This window comes from Homo sapiens, chromosome 5, assembly GCF_000001405.40.
Source record: "Homo sapiens chromosome 5, GRCh38.p14 Primary Assembly".
Taxonomy (NCBI): Eukaryota; Metazoa; Chordata; class Mammalia; order Primates; family Hominidae; genus Homo; species Homo sapiens.
The window spans coordinates 45,396,271-45,416,611 of NC_000005.10; the positions used below are offsets into that span (position 1 = coordinate 45,396,271).

Genomic DNA, 20,341 nt, shown 5'->3' on the forward strand with positions numbered 1-20,341 from the left:
TTTAAAAAGATTATTATTCAACTGAGAAATGAGAAGCAAAAGATATGAGAACTATCTTGAAGAAACCTCAAAATATCAAAGAAGATAGTGTGTTTTTACTTTAAACATTTTATCTCTTTTTTTTTTTTATAGAGGAGATGGTGTAGTTATCTTGAACACAATTCAATTTACTGGTTCAGGTTAGCTGGTTAAAGACATTGGCGATAAATAAAACAAATTACCTTCTCTTGATACTGCCGCCTCGAAGAATCCAGAGACTGGATTAAAGCGGTGGCATGGCCGACAAACATGGCATAGCAGGTGGCCCCGACGATCATGCTCAGCATGGTAATCCAGAGGTCAGACATGCTGACTGGGGCTTGGGCTCCATACCCAATGCACAGCATGTGACTCATAGCTTTGAAGAGTGCGTATGAATACTGCTTTCCCCAAGAATCATTCTGCAACATAAGATAAAAAGAAAATTGACTGAGCCATTAGGATGGCAGAATGAAAAGTGAGTAGGACCTGTACACAGAAGCATTATAAAATACTGAATACTGGAAAAATCCTTACAATGGAGCATTTACAAATGTACTTCTCACTAACTGTGAATTAAATGATGTTTTTCAAATCTTTCTTACTATGATGAAGTGGAAACAGTCTGCTGTTACTTACATGCGCTTTGTCAGTTTTAAGTTTGCTGTTTTTAAAACTAAAATTCCTTTTGGGACAATGGTATGCCATGTAATAATGACAAGAATGAATGCTTTAAGGTTTCAAGGAAATGTGGTCAAATAGTATTAATAATATATTTGCAAGCTATGAAATGCAGCAGACAGTATGACACATACAGGCCAAAGTATAAACATTTTTATCAAAACCATGAAGTTCAGATTTTAAAAATCCATATTGATATAGCTGTATAGTCCTTACCACTACAACTTTCCTTAAATAAAAATTTGAACAAATATATATTGGAAATACAGGTCTGATAAATGGAAAGACTTCCTTGAAGCCCTCTCTCGAAGTGATGTATATTGTAATTTGTGTCAGGATTGAAGACGGCTGAATCTTGTTGGCTTTTTATAAAATAATAAAATGAAATAGGCAAAAGAACATCTTGGCTTATGTCCTGGAGAAAACAATAGGAAATGCTGACTTCTGAGATTATTTATTAGTTGTAACTTCTGATGTCATTTAAAAAAAATTGCAAGCTCAATTTTTTAAAAATGCTGTCCAATGTATCTTATCTAATTTTTGTTAAAATTTAAATTATTTTTTGGATAAATTTTATTGAACTCCCTAATTCAAGTATTACACAATTTATAAAAGCCAGAGCAAAATGAAAATGAGGGGGCTCTGGTTCAAAATGCGGGAAAAAAACTTATTAAATATAATAAAATATAAAGATTTTTCCTTTAAAACTACTTTATTATTTATAAAACCTAATGTGATAACAGTGATAAATGAGTAAAAATATAAGCTTACAAATTTTAAAAATCAATATTTTAATGTCATAGTTATATGTAATACCATAAATAATACTGTATTAATGTGATATTTTGATTGGTCATAAAATTTTTCTGGCTTATTTTTCTGAAATTCATTTCTTAGATTATCAAAATTTATACAATTAACAACTTTATTTTCAATGATTTAGTTGAAAATGACATTAGTTGCTCTTGGCTATTGGAAGATTACTTATTTTTAAATTTAAATTTAAATTTTAAATTTTACATATTTTTAAATTTAAAAATGATCTTTCTATTAATTCAAATGTTATTAAACCTATTAGGAGTATTTTATAGGCTGTGAGATTAGGGTCAACTTCTGATAATTTATTTAAAAATATATATTTGAGTACATTTGGAGCTGATGATTTTCATAGAACAACTTTTCAATAAATATTTAACTTATCATGCCAATCTGTTTCATACCAATTTCACATTGAATTTAGTTTTTATATCTGAATTTATTTTTTAATTTAACTTTTTACTTTTAGGTAATTACAGATTTACATGCAAGTTATAAGAAATAATAGAGAGAGATTCTATGTACTCTTCACTCAGCTTCCCCAGAGGTAACATGCTGCAAACTATAGAATAGTTTCATAGTCAGGAAATTGACATTGATATAATGTACTCATCTCATTTATAGCTCAGTAATTTAAGTGTACTCATTTGTGTGCCTATATGTGTGTGTGTGTATTTATGTCTATGCAATTTTGTCACATGTGTAGGTTCATGTATTTATTACCACAGTCAAGACACAGAATAATTCCATCACAAGGGTCACTTATACTGCCTTTTATTGAATTGAATGTTAAATTTAAATGTATGCAAGGATGTTTTAGTGTTTCTTCTGATATTTCCTGTAACTTGTCAAGGCCGTGCAAAAAATTGAAAGTAGTTTCAAGATTTGCATATAATTTAAAATGCCTGTTTATATATTGTATTGCTATATTTTTAGTTACAAAGAAAGTTTAATTTAAAAATTATCTTCCTTGTTAATAATTGGTTTAATTTAAAACTTCATATAAAAATCGTGTTATTTTCCATCAAATGTGAGTCTTAAATTTAATTTGTATTTCTAAGTTTATGGACATCTGCTGTGCAATTTTGCAGCAGCTTTCAAAACTGGACATTGTAAACACTGAGGAATTCTAATGACTTTCTAAAGTGCTTACTGCCGTGCCCATGTGTAAACATTTATTTTGTAATAATTTATTTACAAAGTTTACTGCCTGAGTGCCATGGGTATTGTCTTGGAATTTAGGTGGGAGATTTAATATCTGTTTAGATACTACAGGGATGGTCCCTTGGGACTGATGAGCAAGCTCTCTACTCACCATGGGTGTTCTCCCTGCCTGCATGGATAGCCACTTTCATCTCTCACGACTGCCTTTGTTGCTGCTGCTTCTCCTGCTGCTACAGATAGTCACTCCTAATCTGGGACCAGTCCTGGTTTGGCCACATCAGGGACACATAGCATCTAGACTGCTGAGTGATGCATATGCTGCCTTGCTGCTAGGCCAATTGCATGTCTCCTGTGCCTACAGGCCTGAATCTGTGTGTGTGATGCTGCCATCCTGCAGCTCTGCTGCTCATGTTCACACCCTGTTGTCCTAGTGGACTTCACTTACAAAACATAAGTTCAAAGATAAAATTATTAAGAGTTTCAAGATGGCAGGAGCAGAACATTAAACCAAGCACAGGGTTCTTTTGACAGTGAGGGGCTCTGTGCAACTTCAAGGTCACATATCAATGAAGCCAAACCTGCATTTGTCAAATTAACTCTTAAATTATCATAAACTTTTCAAGCTATTTTATTTTGAATAGATATGGGTAGTTTTGTTTGTTGTTAATAGGGTTTTCCAACATCAAATTTGTAGATTTAAACAATAAAACAGAAGATTGAAAAGCCCAGTCTTATAAACCTTGGAACTGCACATAGTTGCTAAAAAATAAAGAAAATAACTAGCCCCATTTAGCTGAAAGGATTGAGGTTCTTAAAGTGAAATTCACTATTATTTAATTATAATAAAAGTCCTGCTCATATTAAATTATCCTCTCTATATATGTATTTTCGCAAAAGTAAAAAATAAGATTTAATTTTAACACAAGAAAATTAGTTGTATGTCATATTTTAATATGTACATAGTATAATAAACTCATGCAAAAACTCTTATTTTGGAGAATGAGCAAATTTATACTTTACTTTATCAGTGAAAATGTATAATACTCAGAAATACATCTAAGATTTCCAAAATTCTAGATGGTCCATGAACAAGAAATGGTATATTTACATTTACTAAAATGTAAAATCTAATTCAAGATTTCCTTTCTCCACATAAGGGTACAGACAAGGTATATTGTTAAAGCATCTTGAGGTATTTAGATAAAATGGAAATAATAAAAAGTTCAATGGGGTGTCGAGTGGAGACTACACTTTATTTCTATTGGTATTGTTTATTTCTTTTTGTATGAATGGAGGCAGGGTATGGAGCTGGAAAAGAAAGTTTAATTCAGTTTTTCAGAATAATACAGCTATGTCTATTCTCATTTATTTCACTAGAGACACAAAACACACACCTGTGTATACATGCTCTTAAATGACTTGAAATAAATATATATTAAAAATGCTTTTTTTTTTTTTTTTTTTTTGAGATGGAGTTTCGCTCTTGTTGCCCAGGCTGGAGTGCAATGGTGCAATCTCAACTCACTGCAACCTCTGCCTCCTGGGTTCAAGTGATTCTTTTGCCTCAGCCTCCCGAGTAGCTGGGATTAGTACCACCATGCCCAGCTAATTTTGCATTTTTAGTAGAGACGGGGTTTCACCATGTTGGTCGTACTGGTCTCGAACTCCTCGAACTCAAATTCCATCACCTCAGGCGATCCACCTGCCTTGGCCTCCTAAAGTGCTGGGATTACAGGCATGAGCCACTGTGCCCAGCCTAAGAATGCTTTCTTATTTTTAAAATCATTAGCAACTTTTCTATTTTCCATTCTTCACATGTTTCCATTCCTCTTTCTCTACCTACATTTCCCCAAAATCAGGTATGGATCATTCTGTGCCTTTCTCCATGTTCATATAATCACACACACATGCACATACACAAATCCATGATTCTGGCTTTTTTTCCCACAAAAATGAATCCTATTATATATGCTCTTATTGTTGTTATCACATATAAAATGCCTCCAAATAATCTGTTGTTCACATAACTATGTAATAGTTTGTTGATCACACCATAGTTAATTCAGTCATTTTTTCCATTGTTCTCCAGCTTTTGCCACTACAAACTATTCTTTAATTAAAAACTTTATCCATATATCTTTTCTTTCTGTCAGTAACACTCCCAAGAGTGTGATTGTTGGTTCAAAGAGTAAGATTTTCAGTTTGATTTTAAAATATATTGCCAGATTGATTTAAAAGGCAGTACCTTTTCCAATGTGTAAAAATATACTGTATCACCTTATAGAGTGAGAAATAATAACCCATTGTTATTTTTATTAGCATTTCCCTAGCCAAGGAATTTGAGAAGGCGTTCATGTATTTATTTACCAAATGGGCTTGCTCATCTCTAATGAAATTTTTTTTTCCTTATTAATTTGCAATGCCTCCTTGAAGACTGGGTATCACCCCTTTAACTGATATGTGCTATAAATATTTATTCCTAATTTATCATTTGCCTATTGACCTTCTAATCATATAATTACTCATATAAATATTTCAATTAGTTTATGTAGGAAAATTAAATCTGTAAGTTCCTTGGCAGCTGCTGGATTTCTCATAATGATTAAAAAGCTATCTCTAAATAAGATTATTCCTATGTCCTGAATGTTTTTTCAGATTATTTTATTTTTTATATTTACTTATACTTACACGTATTACCTAGAGAAAGGTTTTTTTTTTTTTTGGATATAGAAAAGTTCACATTTTCTTTATTCTAAATTAATGGAATGTCTTTTGTGCCAGTATATAACTTTTAGTAAATCAACAGGTCTCCATATAGAGAAATATATCTCTTTTATTATATATTGTCTCTATAAAAATGGTATTTGTGTCTGGGCTCAATATTTTGTTTCACTGCTCTGTTTAGCCACTTTTATACTGAGTTTTAATTAAACAAGGTTTAATTAAACAAGGTCCTTGTTTAAAAAACAAGGACCATCTCAATTCCAACAGGGGTTTAAACTGAACTACTGTGTGAGGGAATTTGAGTAAGACCATGGGTCATGCAGGTAAAAATCTAAAACACGAAGTTTGATGGGGAGTAGGAGTATTTGGAGGCTGAGAAAAGTTACCAAACCCCATAGTATGTGTGTGTACATATATAAAATTTTAGCCAGTCTAAATTGTAGAGAAGAAACAGGAGGGAATGAGGAGCATACCAGAAATATGACAGAATAGGGAACATACCAGGCAACACAGTGATGACCAGAGTCTGAGTCCTTAAACATTTTCAGTACAAAACGGGAAGCCAATGAAAACTTGTGAGCAGAGAATGATATGATCTAAACCGTATTTTAGGAAGATTGATCAGGCAGAATTGCAGAGTGCTGGTTCTTAACTAAGGATGATTTTACCACTTAGGAGACATGGCAACATACAACATCAGCAGACATTTTAGTTTTCACAACTGGCAGAGGTGCTATTAATATCTAAAGGGTAGAGGCCAGTGATGCTGTTAAAAATTCTGCAGTTCAGAGGAGACTCCCTCTCCTGCCTCACAACAAAAAATTGGGAGGTCCAAAATATTAGCTGTGGTGAGGCTGAAAAATCCTGAGGTAGAGGAAGGATGTAATAAGGACCAAATACAGAAGTCAGTATAAATGTTATTACAAGTTTATGAGAAGTGAAATGAGAACTTAAATAATATAAAAGTATAAAGCAACAACAATAACAATTTTGAGAAGACAGTATCTACAGAATGTAGAATATTAGGGATTCATGGAAAATTCAGAAGGATTAATGAAATATAGGCTTTCTCTCTCTCTCTCCCCCTTCCTCTTTCTTTCCTTCTTTCTTCCTTTCCTTTCCTTTCTTTCCTTTCTTTCCTCCTTCCTTCCTTCCTTCCTTCCTTCCTTCCTTCCTTCCTTCCTTCCTTCCTCTACTTCCTTCCCTCCCTCCCTCCCTCCTTTTCTTTTCTTTCTTTTGTCTCACTCTTTTATGCAAGCTGGAGTCCAGTGGCATAACCATAGCTCATAGAATTTGAGCTGTAACCTCAAATTCCTGGGCTCCAGCAATCCCATATCAGCCTTCTGAGTAGCTGAGACTACAGGCATAAGCCACTGTATCTGGTCCTTAGGCTATTCTTCATGAAGAGTGAATGATTAGGCATAAGGATCTTCTCTGTTACTCTACAAGGCCAATATTGCTTTCTTTAGACACTGAATTTTGTCTACACACATTGCTTGTGTTTGCAAGGGCCAAGTGAACCATAACAAAGGAAAGTGAGCATTTAAGTAGCAGATTCTGAGGCTGGTGTTGAAAGAATTCCAAGTAGAGGAATGACATCCTAACCCCTCCTCCATCATACCTACATATCATTAAAATCCCAGGAACAAAGGGCTTGTATTAGTCCATTCTCAGGCTGCTAATAAAGATATACCTGAGACTAGGTAATTTATAAAGGAAAGTGGTTTAATTGACTCAGTTCAGCATGGCCGGGGATGCCTCAGGAAACATAACCATGGCAGAAGGGGAAGCAAACACGCCTTTCTTCACAGGGTGGCAGGAAAGAGAAATGCCAAGCAAAAGGGAAAAAGGTCCCTTATAAAACCATCAGATCTAGTGAGAACTCACTCACTATCATGAGAACAGCAGCATGGGGATAACTCCCCCACCATGATTCAATCACCTCCCACCGGGTTCCTCTCACAGCATGTGGGGATTATGAGAACTACAATTCAAGATGAGATTTTGGTGGGGACACAGCCAAACCATATCAGGGCTCAAGGAGAAAAAATAGATTGACTGTGATAAAACACACACAAAATGTTATCCTTATAAGCAGTATATTATAAATCAGGTACATGGTTCTAAACTGTTCAAAGCACCAATTATTATGTTAAACTAGTTTAATCATGAGTACTATTCTTACCATCATTTGACAAATAATGACACTGAAGCAGAGAACCTAAGCGACTTGCCCAGGGTTAAAATTTTGTAAGTGGAAGATTCAGTGTTTTCAACCCATGCAGTCTCCTTCTAAGGACCACAGTATTATTACATTACACTGCTCTCATTTTTATAAGCCTACAAAAGTCATAGGTTTTTTTGCCCCACTTCGGGCATCCTGTTTGCCTTATTTTAATCTACTACCATTGAATGATGGCTTGAATGGGAGATTTAGGCTATCATCTGAGAAAGTTTTGTGAAAATCTAGGAATGTTTGTAATCCCATTCTGCCTTTTTTCTTGTGTTACATGGCTATTCCTTTTTCACCTTGTAAAGATGACTGTATTATATTTTAGTGTACATTACTAATATGATATTATATGCGAATGGGAGACTGTATACTCAAAGTGTTTTACCATACAGTCCAAATATACCCAGTTTCATATAATCTGAATCCCACAGACAATAAGCAAATAAAATATAAGGGAACTGTTTCAACTGAGGTTTATCTTGTTTTCATTTTAGGTAACAATGTACCAACAAATTGTTCCTTTTAGATTATGTTTTTGTTATTAAAAGTGTTCATTTAGTTAATCACTTCACTTAGGCATCACTGAAAATAATTTTTTTTTTTTTGAGGAAAAGATATTGAGTCAAATTAATGGGAACATAGTAAGTACCTTTGCTTATTCCACCTGAGAACTTTCTCTTAGTAATAATGCATTTTGAGCTTTCTATAGGCTTGAATGAAAATACTTTCTAGTCATCCTGTCCATATTGTTACTAAATTTAGGGAGTCAGGATGAAGGGCTATTTGCAAAAAAAAAAAAAAAAAAAAAAAAAAAAGGAAAAAGAAAGAAAAAGGAATATTTATTCTCCAGTGTCCTAGACCTCCTGACATAATATATCCAATTCAAACTTAGCCACTCAGTAGCCTGCCATGGGAACAAAAGCTCTCCAGTCCACTAGCTTTCACATGAGCTGAAATTTATTTAATTTAGGGGGCCAAAACTTTCCATTATTGAATATCAGAATTAATTTTTCTTTATTATTTGCAAGCAAATACAAGTATAAACGTGTTGAAGTAGGTAAAATCTTAGGAAAATCTAAAATATGGCACTCAGAGACTCTGAAGTGCACAAACCAACTGCTAAAATATTGAAGAATTAATGGATAATAAAGAGGTGAAATTAGAAAGCCATGAGTAGAGTATAAATTCTTTAGAGCTAGGCTACAGAATGTTGATCAGCATGTCTATTTTTTTCCTGCAGTCATTGCATAAACATATCATTTTTATCAATTTTGGAAATGCCAATCAGATAGAAAGTTGCATTTAAAAGTTCTTAAGGAAAAGAATATAGTGTAGCATAATTCATTTGCAGTCATAAGAAGTATAACAGGTCATCAGTGTCAAAAAGAGTGTGTTTACTTGAATACACCATAATTTTATTATCTGTAAACAGTTGGTCTTTGAACAATGCAGGCGTTAAGGATGCCAACCCTGGGCATAGAATGACTTTTGACTTAATTAATCAATTAATTAATTATTTCGAGACAGGGTCTTGCTCTCTTCCCTAGGCTGGAGTACATTGGCACAACTATAGTTCACTGCAGCTGGAACTTCTAGGCTCAAGTGACCCTCCTGCTTCAACCTCCTGAGTAGCTAGGACTATACACGTGCACCAACATGACCAGCTTATGTTTAAAATTTTTATAGAGATAAGGTCTTGCTATGTTGCTGAAGCTGGTTTCAAACTCCTGGCTTGAAGCAATCTTCGTGGCTCTGCCTCCCAAAGTGCTGGGATTATAGGCATAAGACACTTTGCCCGGCGTATTTTTCTTATATTTAGTGCTATGATCTGCGTAAAAAACGTTTGTACCTCTGATAACAACCTTTTGCCTTATAAGAGGGTTTAAACAGTTTTTAACAGTAAAATATAGAAGTATTGCATAACTAAATTGCTGTTGCCATGAAGAGTGATGTCTGATTATTTTGAGAGTTCATTCTCAACTTGTTCCATGGTCAATTAATCACTCAAGTTCTAAGTGTACTTTTTCTTGCTTCAAGAATGATGATAAAATACAAAATTTGCATTAAATAGACTTATAAATTAAAATTTAGTGATGCTTGATATCACAGATTTTTTCTTATTTTTTTGATATTGGTACATTATTTTAAAAATAAAAATTAAACAAATCAATGCATTATTTTAAATTTGACTTGTTCATTCATCCAATTTTTTATACTAAGAGTTCATTGGTACTATTTATAAAACAGGCCCCAAATTTGACATTACTTAAATACTGTAAGTGTGATGTTTCAATTACAATTAGCTTTTCAAGTAAATCAAATATTTCTATGGGGTACCTCTTTGTTAACATAAATAAATATAAGCAAACATATTTTACATATGTTTATATATAAGTATTAGTGAATATATTTTATGTGTATGCAAGCATATATGCATTAATATAAAGCCAGCATAGAAGAAATCAGCATACACTGAGGACTTATTTACTGCAAGGTACTATTATAACATCATCTCATTGCTCTTCTTAACAGTGAAACCTAACTTGATATTGTTATTATGGATTGGAAATGCAAACGTTGGAAAAATTAAATAACTTGCTTTAGTTCACACACTTGTAGGTGCCAAATCTGGAATTCAATCACAGATCTGTCTGAACCACACTATAAACTCTCTTCATTCCAAAGACCATAGCCATTTATGTCATAACCGTTTATATGAGTAAAATTCATGATAATTATACTTTTATATGAATAAAATTCATGATAATTATACATAGGATTTTCAGGCATTTTAAGAACATAACCATAACAGAGAAATTCTTTAAACTATGTTTCTTCTCAACCACCAAAAGAGAGCCTCTATTATACCTTAAGGACATTTAGAGAAAAATTATCTAAGGTTTTCATTAGAGAAAAACGCTGAGGTAAAATTTCCTGGAGAGTGTGAGGTCAGTGAAGATAGTTTGACCTTAAAATTGTACTTTAGTTTTATACTTTCCTATTAGTCAAAAACTTTTAATGAATTCTTCTTTCCACCTAACCCCAAAGCCTGGGATCAAGCAATCTATACAGTTATCTGATAGGAACAGTCCTCTAGAAGAAAATCCTTGCCCGAGGCTCAGCACTCCAGAGTATGAAAGGTGCAGATGGCACAGGGTGACAGGTTCAATCTGAAACACTGAGTGATGTGCTTTCACTCAACACCTGGACAAAGTAAAATAAGTACAATCATGCACCACATAATGATGTTTCAGTTAATGATGGACCGTACATTCAGCAGTGGTTCTATAAGAAGATGATAATGGAGCAGAAAAATTCCTATCTCCTAGTGATCCTGTAGCTATCATAATGTCATAGCACAATGCGTCACTCATCTGCTTGTGGCAATGTGGTGTAAACAAACCTACTCCACTACCAGTCATATAAAAGTATAGCATATATGATTATGTATGGTATATAATACTTGAAAATGATAATAAACAACTATGTCACGAGTTTATGTATTTAGTATACTACCTTTTTATTGTTACTGTATTCTTTCAACTTATACAAAAATAAAGCTACTTGTAAAACAACCTCAGGTATGTTCTTCAGGAGGCATCGCAGAGAGGCTTTTTATTTTTATTTTTTTAGACAGAGTCTCACTCTCGTTCCACAGGCTGGAGTGCAGTGGCGCGATCTTGGCTCACTGCAACCTCCGCCTACCTGGCTCATGTGAGTCTCCTGCCTCAGCCTCCCAAGTAGCTGGGATTACAGGCACCCACCAGCATGCCTGGCTAACTTTTTGTATTTTTAGTAGAGATGGTGTTTTACCACTGGTCTCGAACTCCTGACCTCAGGTGATCTACCTGCCTCAGCCTCCTAAAGTGCTGAGATTACAAGCGTGAGCCACCATGCCCGGCCCAGAAGAGGCATTTTTATCATAGGAGTTGACAACATTTTGCATGCTACTGCTCCTGAAGACATTCCAGTGGGACAAGGTGTGGTGGTAGAAGACAGTGATACTGATGATCCTGACCCTGTGTAAGCCTAGGCTTATGTGTGTGCTTGTGTCTTAGTTTTTAACCAAAAGTTTTAAAAGTAAAGAAAAAATCAAATAGAAAAAAATCATATAGAATATAAGTACAGGGAAAGAAAATATTTTTATACAGTTGTACAATGTGCTTGTGTCTTAAGCTAAGTGTTACTACAAAAAAAGTCAAAAACATAAAAATAAAAACATTATAAAGTAAAAAAGTTAGAATAAACTAAGGTTAATTTATTATTAAAGAAAATCTTAAAAATAAATTTAGTGTAGCCTAAGTATACAGTGTTTATAAAGTCTACAGTAGTGTACAGTAATGTCCTAGGCCTTCACGTTGCCTTACTACTCCCTGACTCACCCAGAGCAGCTTTCAGTCATGCAAGCTCTATTCACGATGTACCATCTTTTATCTTTCACACTGTTATACCCTTTTATTTTTTATACTGTATTTTTATTATACCTTTTCTATGTTTAGATACACCAATACTTACTGTGTTACCAATGCCTACAGTATTCAGTACAGTCAACATGCTGTAGAGGTTTGCTGCCTAGGAGCAATAGGCCATACCATATAGCCTAGGTGTGTAGTAGGCTATATCGTCTAGGTTTGTGTAAGTACCATCTATGATGTTTTCACAATGATAATATTGCCTAAGGATATACTTCTCAGAGTGTTTCTTCATCTTTCTAATGACAGGCATGACATTACATTGCTAAGTACTATTAATGTGCACGTTTAAATTAATTTTATGAACTTTCACCAAGCAGCTTTACAATGATCATTCTCAAATTAGTAGATCATCTCTTTTATGGCATTCTTGAAGTGTTTAATGCTGCTATTTTGAGGTTTGAGCACACTGGAGTGTTAAAAACTACTAACAAAGTGAAATTAAAGTGAAAACAAAAAACGTTGTATATATTTTTGTGCTGGGCTCAAGTTTCTGCTCTTTATAAACAAAGTAGCTGCCTAATGCATTAAAGAAGCAGAAGAGTTAAGAATGTCTTTAATCATATGTGTAGTCTTTGGGTGTTTATGTCGGTTATCAGATCATAAAATTTATTAAATATGCAGTTTTGTATATGGAATTCTTTTACCATATATGAGAGTAAGGCATTAGATTTTATTTCTAGATAATTTGCATATATTTCAATTTATATGATAGATGGTACAATGTGGAAAGAATTTGGACTTTTTATGATAATTAAACAAGAGACTATATAAAAGGCTGCTATATTAACAAGCTCTATATAAAAGAGCTAATAAATAATAAGCTTTCTGTTTTCCAACTGAAAGAGTTTTGTAAATGAGGGGATAAATTTCTTACCGATGTGTGTGTTTTAATGGAAAAATATGTTCATAGCACGTTTTGCTATGAGTAACAATTCTAACCTCTTTGCAAATACATAAATCATGAAAAATTTATTAAAATCTAATGCTTAGAGATGGGCATAACTAAAATATAGACAAACTTAAACTATAGAGAAAGGAAATGTGTATGCTGATAAGCAGCTTACGTAGTAATTGGTTATTTATATTGAGGTTAAAAAGAGCTTTCCCATTATCTCAAAAATCATGCTCTCACCTTTACAGATTCTAAAATTCCATCTTAGTAATGGTAGAATTTACCCTTAACACTTAACATGTCCACGCAATTTTGATGACATGGTGCAAACATCTCTGATTTTTTTCTTCTACCTAGATTTACTACTGGGTTGGGGTTCCCACTACCAGACATAAGAAAGGATAGTACAATAAAATAAAATAGTGGCACATTAAATATTTTTATGGTAGACTGACTTTTATCCATCAATTCATAGAAAGTTGGAATTGTAAGGGATCTGTATAACAATTTATCCTTTTTATAAGTACACTGAATTTCAGAATCTCCATGATTATAAGATCAAAATACATAAATAAACAAATAATTAAATATATTCAGATTACCCAACTTTATTCAAATCTAGTATGTAAGGAACAATACATCTTAAGGTCATGGAAAACATTAAGTTACTTGCCCAAGGTCTGATCTGGTTTGTCTAAGAATTAAAAAACAAAACAAAAACAAAACAAACAAAAAATACAAACTCATGTCTGATGTGCTTGCAAGTATTATTTTCATTATATTTGCATAATCATAATACTGACCATAGCACAACTAACAATAGCAGAAACATGAGTACAGTTTGCATAGATCTCTTACAAGGAACTTAATAGACATGGTGATTATCACAAGAGCCTTGTGGTAGCAAGAACAGTCTTTATTATCTTCATTTACTGATGTGGATAAAGTTCAGAGTTTCATTCAGTAGCCTATTGGGTCATGATAGGTAGCAGTATCTCTCTACTGGATCTCTAGGCTGCTGATTGCAGATATAGTGCTTGCAAATCTAATTATTATTGTAATCTATTTGGTAAAATGATGAAGATACTATGATCTGTACTGTCCAATATTTCCATAGAGTTATCTATTTCAGGCAAAAGTACTCTTATGAGATCTGTAGCTAATCAAATTATATAGAGAACCATTCTCCTATGCTAAAGTTATTTTAATGAACATTTAGAACATGAATGACGTCAGTTAAAACTACTCCCTTACTTTATTAAAAAAGTATTTTTAAAAGTCATATTCTTATTTACAGCTAAGTTATAATTACATAACTCAGCAACAACGCATGTTCCTCAACTCTAAAGACATGACTTTAAATTGCAAACAAATAAATAAAGCTTCAATTACAAGTAATGCTAGAACTTTGTTTATTGATTATGAAGTATAACAAGATAAGCCTAGGAAATCCCCTGCTGTGTAAGCCTGTGTAAAAAGGCAGAAAGTATTAAGCACTTAAAGCTATTTTTAGAAGCCTAATTCCCAACTTAAATTCTTATCCTATGTTGTGTATTCAGTGTGTTCTTAGTATGAAAGGCTTCTGTGTCAGTTACCCATCTGAGAGAACATTTAGCATTGACGTCTAAATCCACATAAGCTGTATACAAGTGTAAGTTTTATCATGTGTAGACTCCTTGATCTCACAGACAACTTCACAGAGAATTCAAATACCAAATAGTATTTAAGAGAGGCAAAACACAACTTCTTAGATCAACATAATCAAGCTAAATACCCTTTTACTAGCACTCATAAAGGTTAAATCCCTAGAGAATCACTTGTCTCTGATAAATAAATTCTCCACTCACATTACATTTGAGTCTCTCTGTGTGTGTACATTGGGGTGAGGGCATGAGGAAGAGTTGGGGAGAGAGACAGAGAGAGACTGAGAGATACAGATTTCTTTTCAAGGCCCAGATTATTCTCTCTCAGGCATATCTCTCAATTCAGATGTAGACTGATTTGGAAATCTGTTAGCAAACAAGCACAGAGAAAAGAGTATTTGCAACAATCTGTTTTATTTTCCCTCTCTTTCTTTTAACTTCTGTTTTTTTTTTTTATTCTACCCAGTTACAAGACTAAACCAATGGTGATTCAGGCGTAATTCCTATTTCTGATGAGCTCCTTTCAGTTATCTAAAATCAGGAAAAAAATGCATATTCAATCATAGTATTACTAGTCAAAGAAAATAAAGCGAAGCAGGGCCCCTTTAAAATTTAGTGCATTCCACTTGAAATCATGCTCATGAGGATATTCTAGCTATTTTTTATGGCACAGAGAAGAAAATGAAGGTTATTTTACCTTTAGGAAATAAGTCATTTTTACTGCATTTCTGAATGATAAAAACATTAAGAAAAAGGCAAATGCAATATTATAATCCATTTATGAGATTTCTGTTTTCAGGAATGGAGAAGAAATGGGCAAAATAATTAAATAGACCCAGAAATGGAGCATCCCTGACTCCTTCAGTAGAACTCTTATTTGCTTCAAATCCTAATATTACTTAATGCCAACAGTTCCCACAATTCTGAGTACTTTGGGTATGAAGCACAATTACTGGCAATTTTTGAAGGGAGCACACCACTTAGTGCAATTCCTGTAGAAGAGTGAATTATAATTTAATCAAGCAGAATGCCAAGTTTGCCACAAATTGGCAGACTAACTTTAAGGAATATATCCAGACAGATCATAAAGGTGTCTTGCCTTAACCTCCTCCAATGTGGAGGGAAACAACAGTATGGCTTACTGACAAAGCAAGAGAATACCTTAATAATTATCAGCATACATTTCTTAGTCAACAGGGACTGTTCAGGAAAGGAAGTAAACATTCAAAGCTTAATGATTTCTCTTGTGCATAGCTTCTGTGACTCATGCCAGATTTTCCTGAGCTAGTTCTAAAATGATTTATCTGCTTCAGTGAGTTTAAAGCATTTCATCTTCACTTTTCTTTGGGCACTGGGAATAAAGGTTAACAAAGTCATCTGCGTATATTGAGGTGTGGGTATCTGTGTATATCTACCCCAGGCTGGCCTAGAAGAAGTGTAGCATTGTGGTCTCCTTTATGTACAAGCAAACGTGGTAGCACTGTACCTCCAGGTTCTATGGATAGTGGAGCCGGGAACAGTGTAAGTCTCAAGGGAGACAACTGCAATCACACTGCAGATGAGGTTTGGGAGGATAGTACCTAATTCTCTGATGACAGAAAAAAAGACAAAGAATAACCTACTCAGAAATCTCTCCCATATCTTCTTCTGAGAGGCTTGAAATTACCTCTATTAAGCTTCTCTCTATTTACATAAGAAAGTAAAATCAATGGCAATGTCTCTGGAAGGCTGTTATTTGAATGCGTGTATGTTGCATTTAAGTCAGTATTCAAATAGCCTCCTTCCATGGCCTGGAGGTTGTATAGTTTGCCCCAGTAGGGTTCAGGTTGATCCCCAAGAGGCTGGAACTGGGTGAGCACGGATTGACAAAGGATGAAGAGAGCATGAGGATCATCTCATAAGAAATTATTTTGGGGATGAAAAGAACTGAATAGCATAAAAGTTAATAAAAATGGCAGAGGTTGGACCCTCCAATTAAAAGGAGAACAAGTTAGAGTGAATGTATATCAAGCACATAAGATGGCATGCAGAAAGATTGCTATTAGTTTTGAACATTCTTGGCTTGCCTTTGCCACCTATTGAAAATGCAGTGTCTGGTTAAAATGGGGAATGATTCAAAGGGTTCTTTTTATTCTCTAATCGATTATGGTGAAGTGACATGCTAGATTAGTGGTAAGTCACCTTAGAAAGTTGCCTAAGGACAAAAAATAAGATGCGTACAATTCCATTTGGGGAATAAAAAGTTTTACAGAAACTTAGAGTAGGAAATAGCTAACTCACAAGAGGTTAAATCCCAGAACATTTATTATTCACAATGAATGTGAGATCCAAGCAAAGGAATAGAGTATCAAAGTAAGTCAGGAATAAAAAAATAAATATTTTAATTTCAGATATTTTTTATGATTTACCTGAATTCAACACTGTTGAGATACAGTATCATTTTGCCAGAAGAGGTAAATGTATTGATATTCTTTGTAAACCAGTCGGTGCCTTGAGAGAATAAATAATAGCAATACGGTTATTATTAGTCAGCCCAACACATTGATAATGACATAGCTGACTGATGATTCCAATTATACATGCCAATTTGAGGATATTCAGATTTGTTTTTGGTTATGTATTTTTCCATAGTTTGTTAGCTACACCATGCAGGAGCAAATTGCGTAAGTAAGATGGGTGGGCTGTCAACAAAATTTAGGTTGAAAACTTTCAGAGGTAGAAATGAAAAAGGAGAATATTCAGTATTTTAAATGGCAATAAATAATCATAAGGATATGAAGGGGCAGGAAAACTTGGTTAAAGTAGTGATCTTGATAACATTAGCCATATAGGAAAATTTTTATTTTAGAATGCACTATGACATTTCCAAAGACAAATGCAATAAGGAATCAAGGTGTTTTCAAAGACAATAATCTACTGCTTGGCTGAAATATTGAAAAAAATAGATTCATAATAAATTATCTTTTTTTAGGAAACTAAATGATCAACAATATCTCTATGAATGTACAATACAAAAATTAAAGGCAATCTTAAAGCAGGATTCACATATTTTGAAGCTCAACAAATTGTTGCCAAAGTGTAAGAAAAAACAGTAAATACCTGAACTTTGCAGCATACCCTAGATATTAATCAATTAGACCATGGGAAAAAGAACAACAGTTTCAGAAAGCAAATCTTTATGGCCAATTCGCCAATATTAGCCTATCATAACATAAATCTGAAGGCATCACAGGGACTCTGAGCTACCACTCAATAGACTAAGCAGGAGAAAATCTTACATAGTCTTACTATTGAGTGAACTATCACAGGTCTCACTCCAATACCATCTTAGTTATTTGTTAATCTTGTCTCCCTCCTCCATGCCTCACCTTCCCAAAAAACAATCAACAGACTAAAAACAAACCTGGGTTACTCTCAATTATTTAGGTGAACAGAGTTGAATATCATTCATCTAAAAAAGAGGCCTCTCTCTTGACTTCTCATCTTATCTATATGGAGGCATTTGTCTCTACTCAGCTTTACACAAACATCCCAAATCTGTGTGTCCAAACTGAATTCATTTAACCTGAGTATGCTGCTGATAAAACATGTTTTCTCTGAATCCCTAGATGAGTTTAGTATCACTTGATTGACTCCATGCTGTACTCCTCTTTTCTCCACTGGGTGGGTCCAGAGCTTCTAGACAGAAGAACAGCTGAACAGTATCTGCTTCTACTGTTACCATTTAAATACTAAATAGTTATCAGGCTAGCAGCCTGGAGAGTGCATACTTATCAAACAACCAATCAAACATACACAAATGACAATTAAAAATAATCTTTCTTTTGTCCCATCTCTTTACAATACACAGGTTCCCATTCCTGCCTAGTGCTTATCTCAGGGCAGTCTTATGGTATCACTTGATTTGAGACTATCTTAGGCCCTAGGTTACTTCTATTATTATATATTTGCCATATGTAAAATGACTTGGCATCCTTAATAACTATGCTTGTCTTTTGTGCATTTCTTCCTTGTGACCCTTAATAATTCTGAGGTCAGTTGTTTACTTTCCAAGGTTTTGTTAAAACCAAATTACACTTCCGTACACTCTGTCACAATTAGATATCATCCTGTCATATCTTGTAAGCAGTGGTTAAATGTTAAACTTAACCACCTGTTCTTTCACCAACCTTGGACTTTGATTCTGCCTCTTTTATTTCTAGGACTACATAAGACTTTTTCTAACCATGATTTTACTTTGCTCTGAAATTGAAAAATATAGCAGTTATTTGTTTTAATGAAAACAATGTTTTATCTTTTATTTTTTCTTTTCTAGATCAATACAAATTTTAAAACAAATTTTAATAATTTGCCATCTCAGTTTAACTCCCTTTCAGTCCATTCTTCAAAGCATCTAGTTACACGTCAAATCATGCCACTCCCATGCTTAAAGTTTCCTCATAGCTTCAAGAGTAAGTTGAACCTCTCATGAGAATCACAAAAACTTGGTCATGATGTATCCCCTGCATCTCTCCTGAGCAATACTGCTTAACTTTCCTAAGCCTTATAACAAAACCTAAGATTGTACTCCTGCCACCCTGAGCTACTTGCAGTTCCCCAAACAAGCCAATTCATTATTTGCCATGCTTTTATATAGGTAGTTTTCTCTGACTCAGTGTGTTTTCTGGTCTCCTTTCTCTTTGACTGGACACTTTTAACAGTGTTTCAAGATGCAGCTCATTTTGTAAGTTTCTCAAAGATCGACCTTCATCCCTTCAATTCAGCCTTCCCAGCCTGGTTCAGCTTCTTGTCTAAATGGCCACAGCACTTGTGCTTCCATTTATCATGTGATTGCTGTACCGTCTGTTTATTTGTTTGCCTTCACCAGTATAACCAAAGTTTCCTAAGGGCATAGACCATGTCCTAAACATCTTTGTATCCAAGACATTTAGCAGAGTGATTGATATGAGTGGTATCTAGGAAAAATATTGAACTGACTTAATAACAGTATACAAATGTCATCCTGTTTGATAATGTACCTTAAGTTATGTTGTAAGTTAAAAAGCCAGATGTCTTCATCTGAGCCACAAAAGAAACCAGTATCTCTCCTTAAGATTCAGGGTATTTCTAACTATGGTTGAAATGTGAACTTTAAATTTAATGAAATTAAACAGATGCCTTTAGTAGTCTGATCAACTGTTCTCCCAATTGATATATGTATAGCAGATATCATAAACAATTCAGCATATATTTTAACACTAATAGAAAACTTGAAATAATGCAAAATATTTCAAATTTATTAGGTATTATTTTAATCATGAATGCATTGTCGGGGGTAAGCATCACTGGCTAGTTTTCATACGTTCATATATCCCACTCCTCACTTGATTTACTCGAGTGAGGAATGAAAATGTCCCTTCACAATGATATATTTATGCTTTCCTGGACTCAAAGTGCCTAGAGTTAAATTTGGAAATACCACTGTAGTAATGCAAATATTATTCTTCACATATTTTTCTGAGGAAACAAATATGGAATGCATATATGATATATACAACCTGACAAGCTACACAGCAGAAATTGCTTTTGGTTTCCTTAGATGAAGAAAACAAAAACAGCACTGACATTGAAAGTAAAAAGTGTGTTCTATTACTCAGATTTAGAAATGTGACTAGACTAGTGAAATAAGTGCTTATAGATTTGGTAAGAGAAGGAT

The 20,341-nt window shown here is 33.9% G+C and overlaps 1 protein-coding gene across 1 annotated transcript in view, besides 1 other annotated feature; it reads right to left on the reverse strand.

The window, feature by feature from the left end:
* Window positions 1-20,341, reverse strand: part of HCN1 (hyperpolarization activated cyclic nucleotide gated potassium channel 1) — a 441,433-nt gene that overhangs the window by 141,323 nt on the left and 279,769 nt on the right. The window contains exon 4 of the mRNA NM_021072.4: window positions 222-440. Coding sequence (NP_066550.2) covers window positions 222-440 — 219 coding nt within the window. The remainder of the gene's footprint in view (window positions 1-221; window positions 441-20,341) is intronic.
* Window positions 2,625-3,145: an enhancer, noted in NCBI's record as "NANOG hESC enhancer chr5:45398997-45399517 (GRCh37/hg19 assembly coordinates)". NCBI's record gives its function as "activates a minimal SCP1, AML or CMV promoter by ChIP-STARR-seq in primed H9 embryonic stem cells {active_cell/tissue: H9 hESC(primed)}" and the evidence as "EXISTENCE:reporter gene assay evidence [ECO:0000049][PMID:30033119]".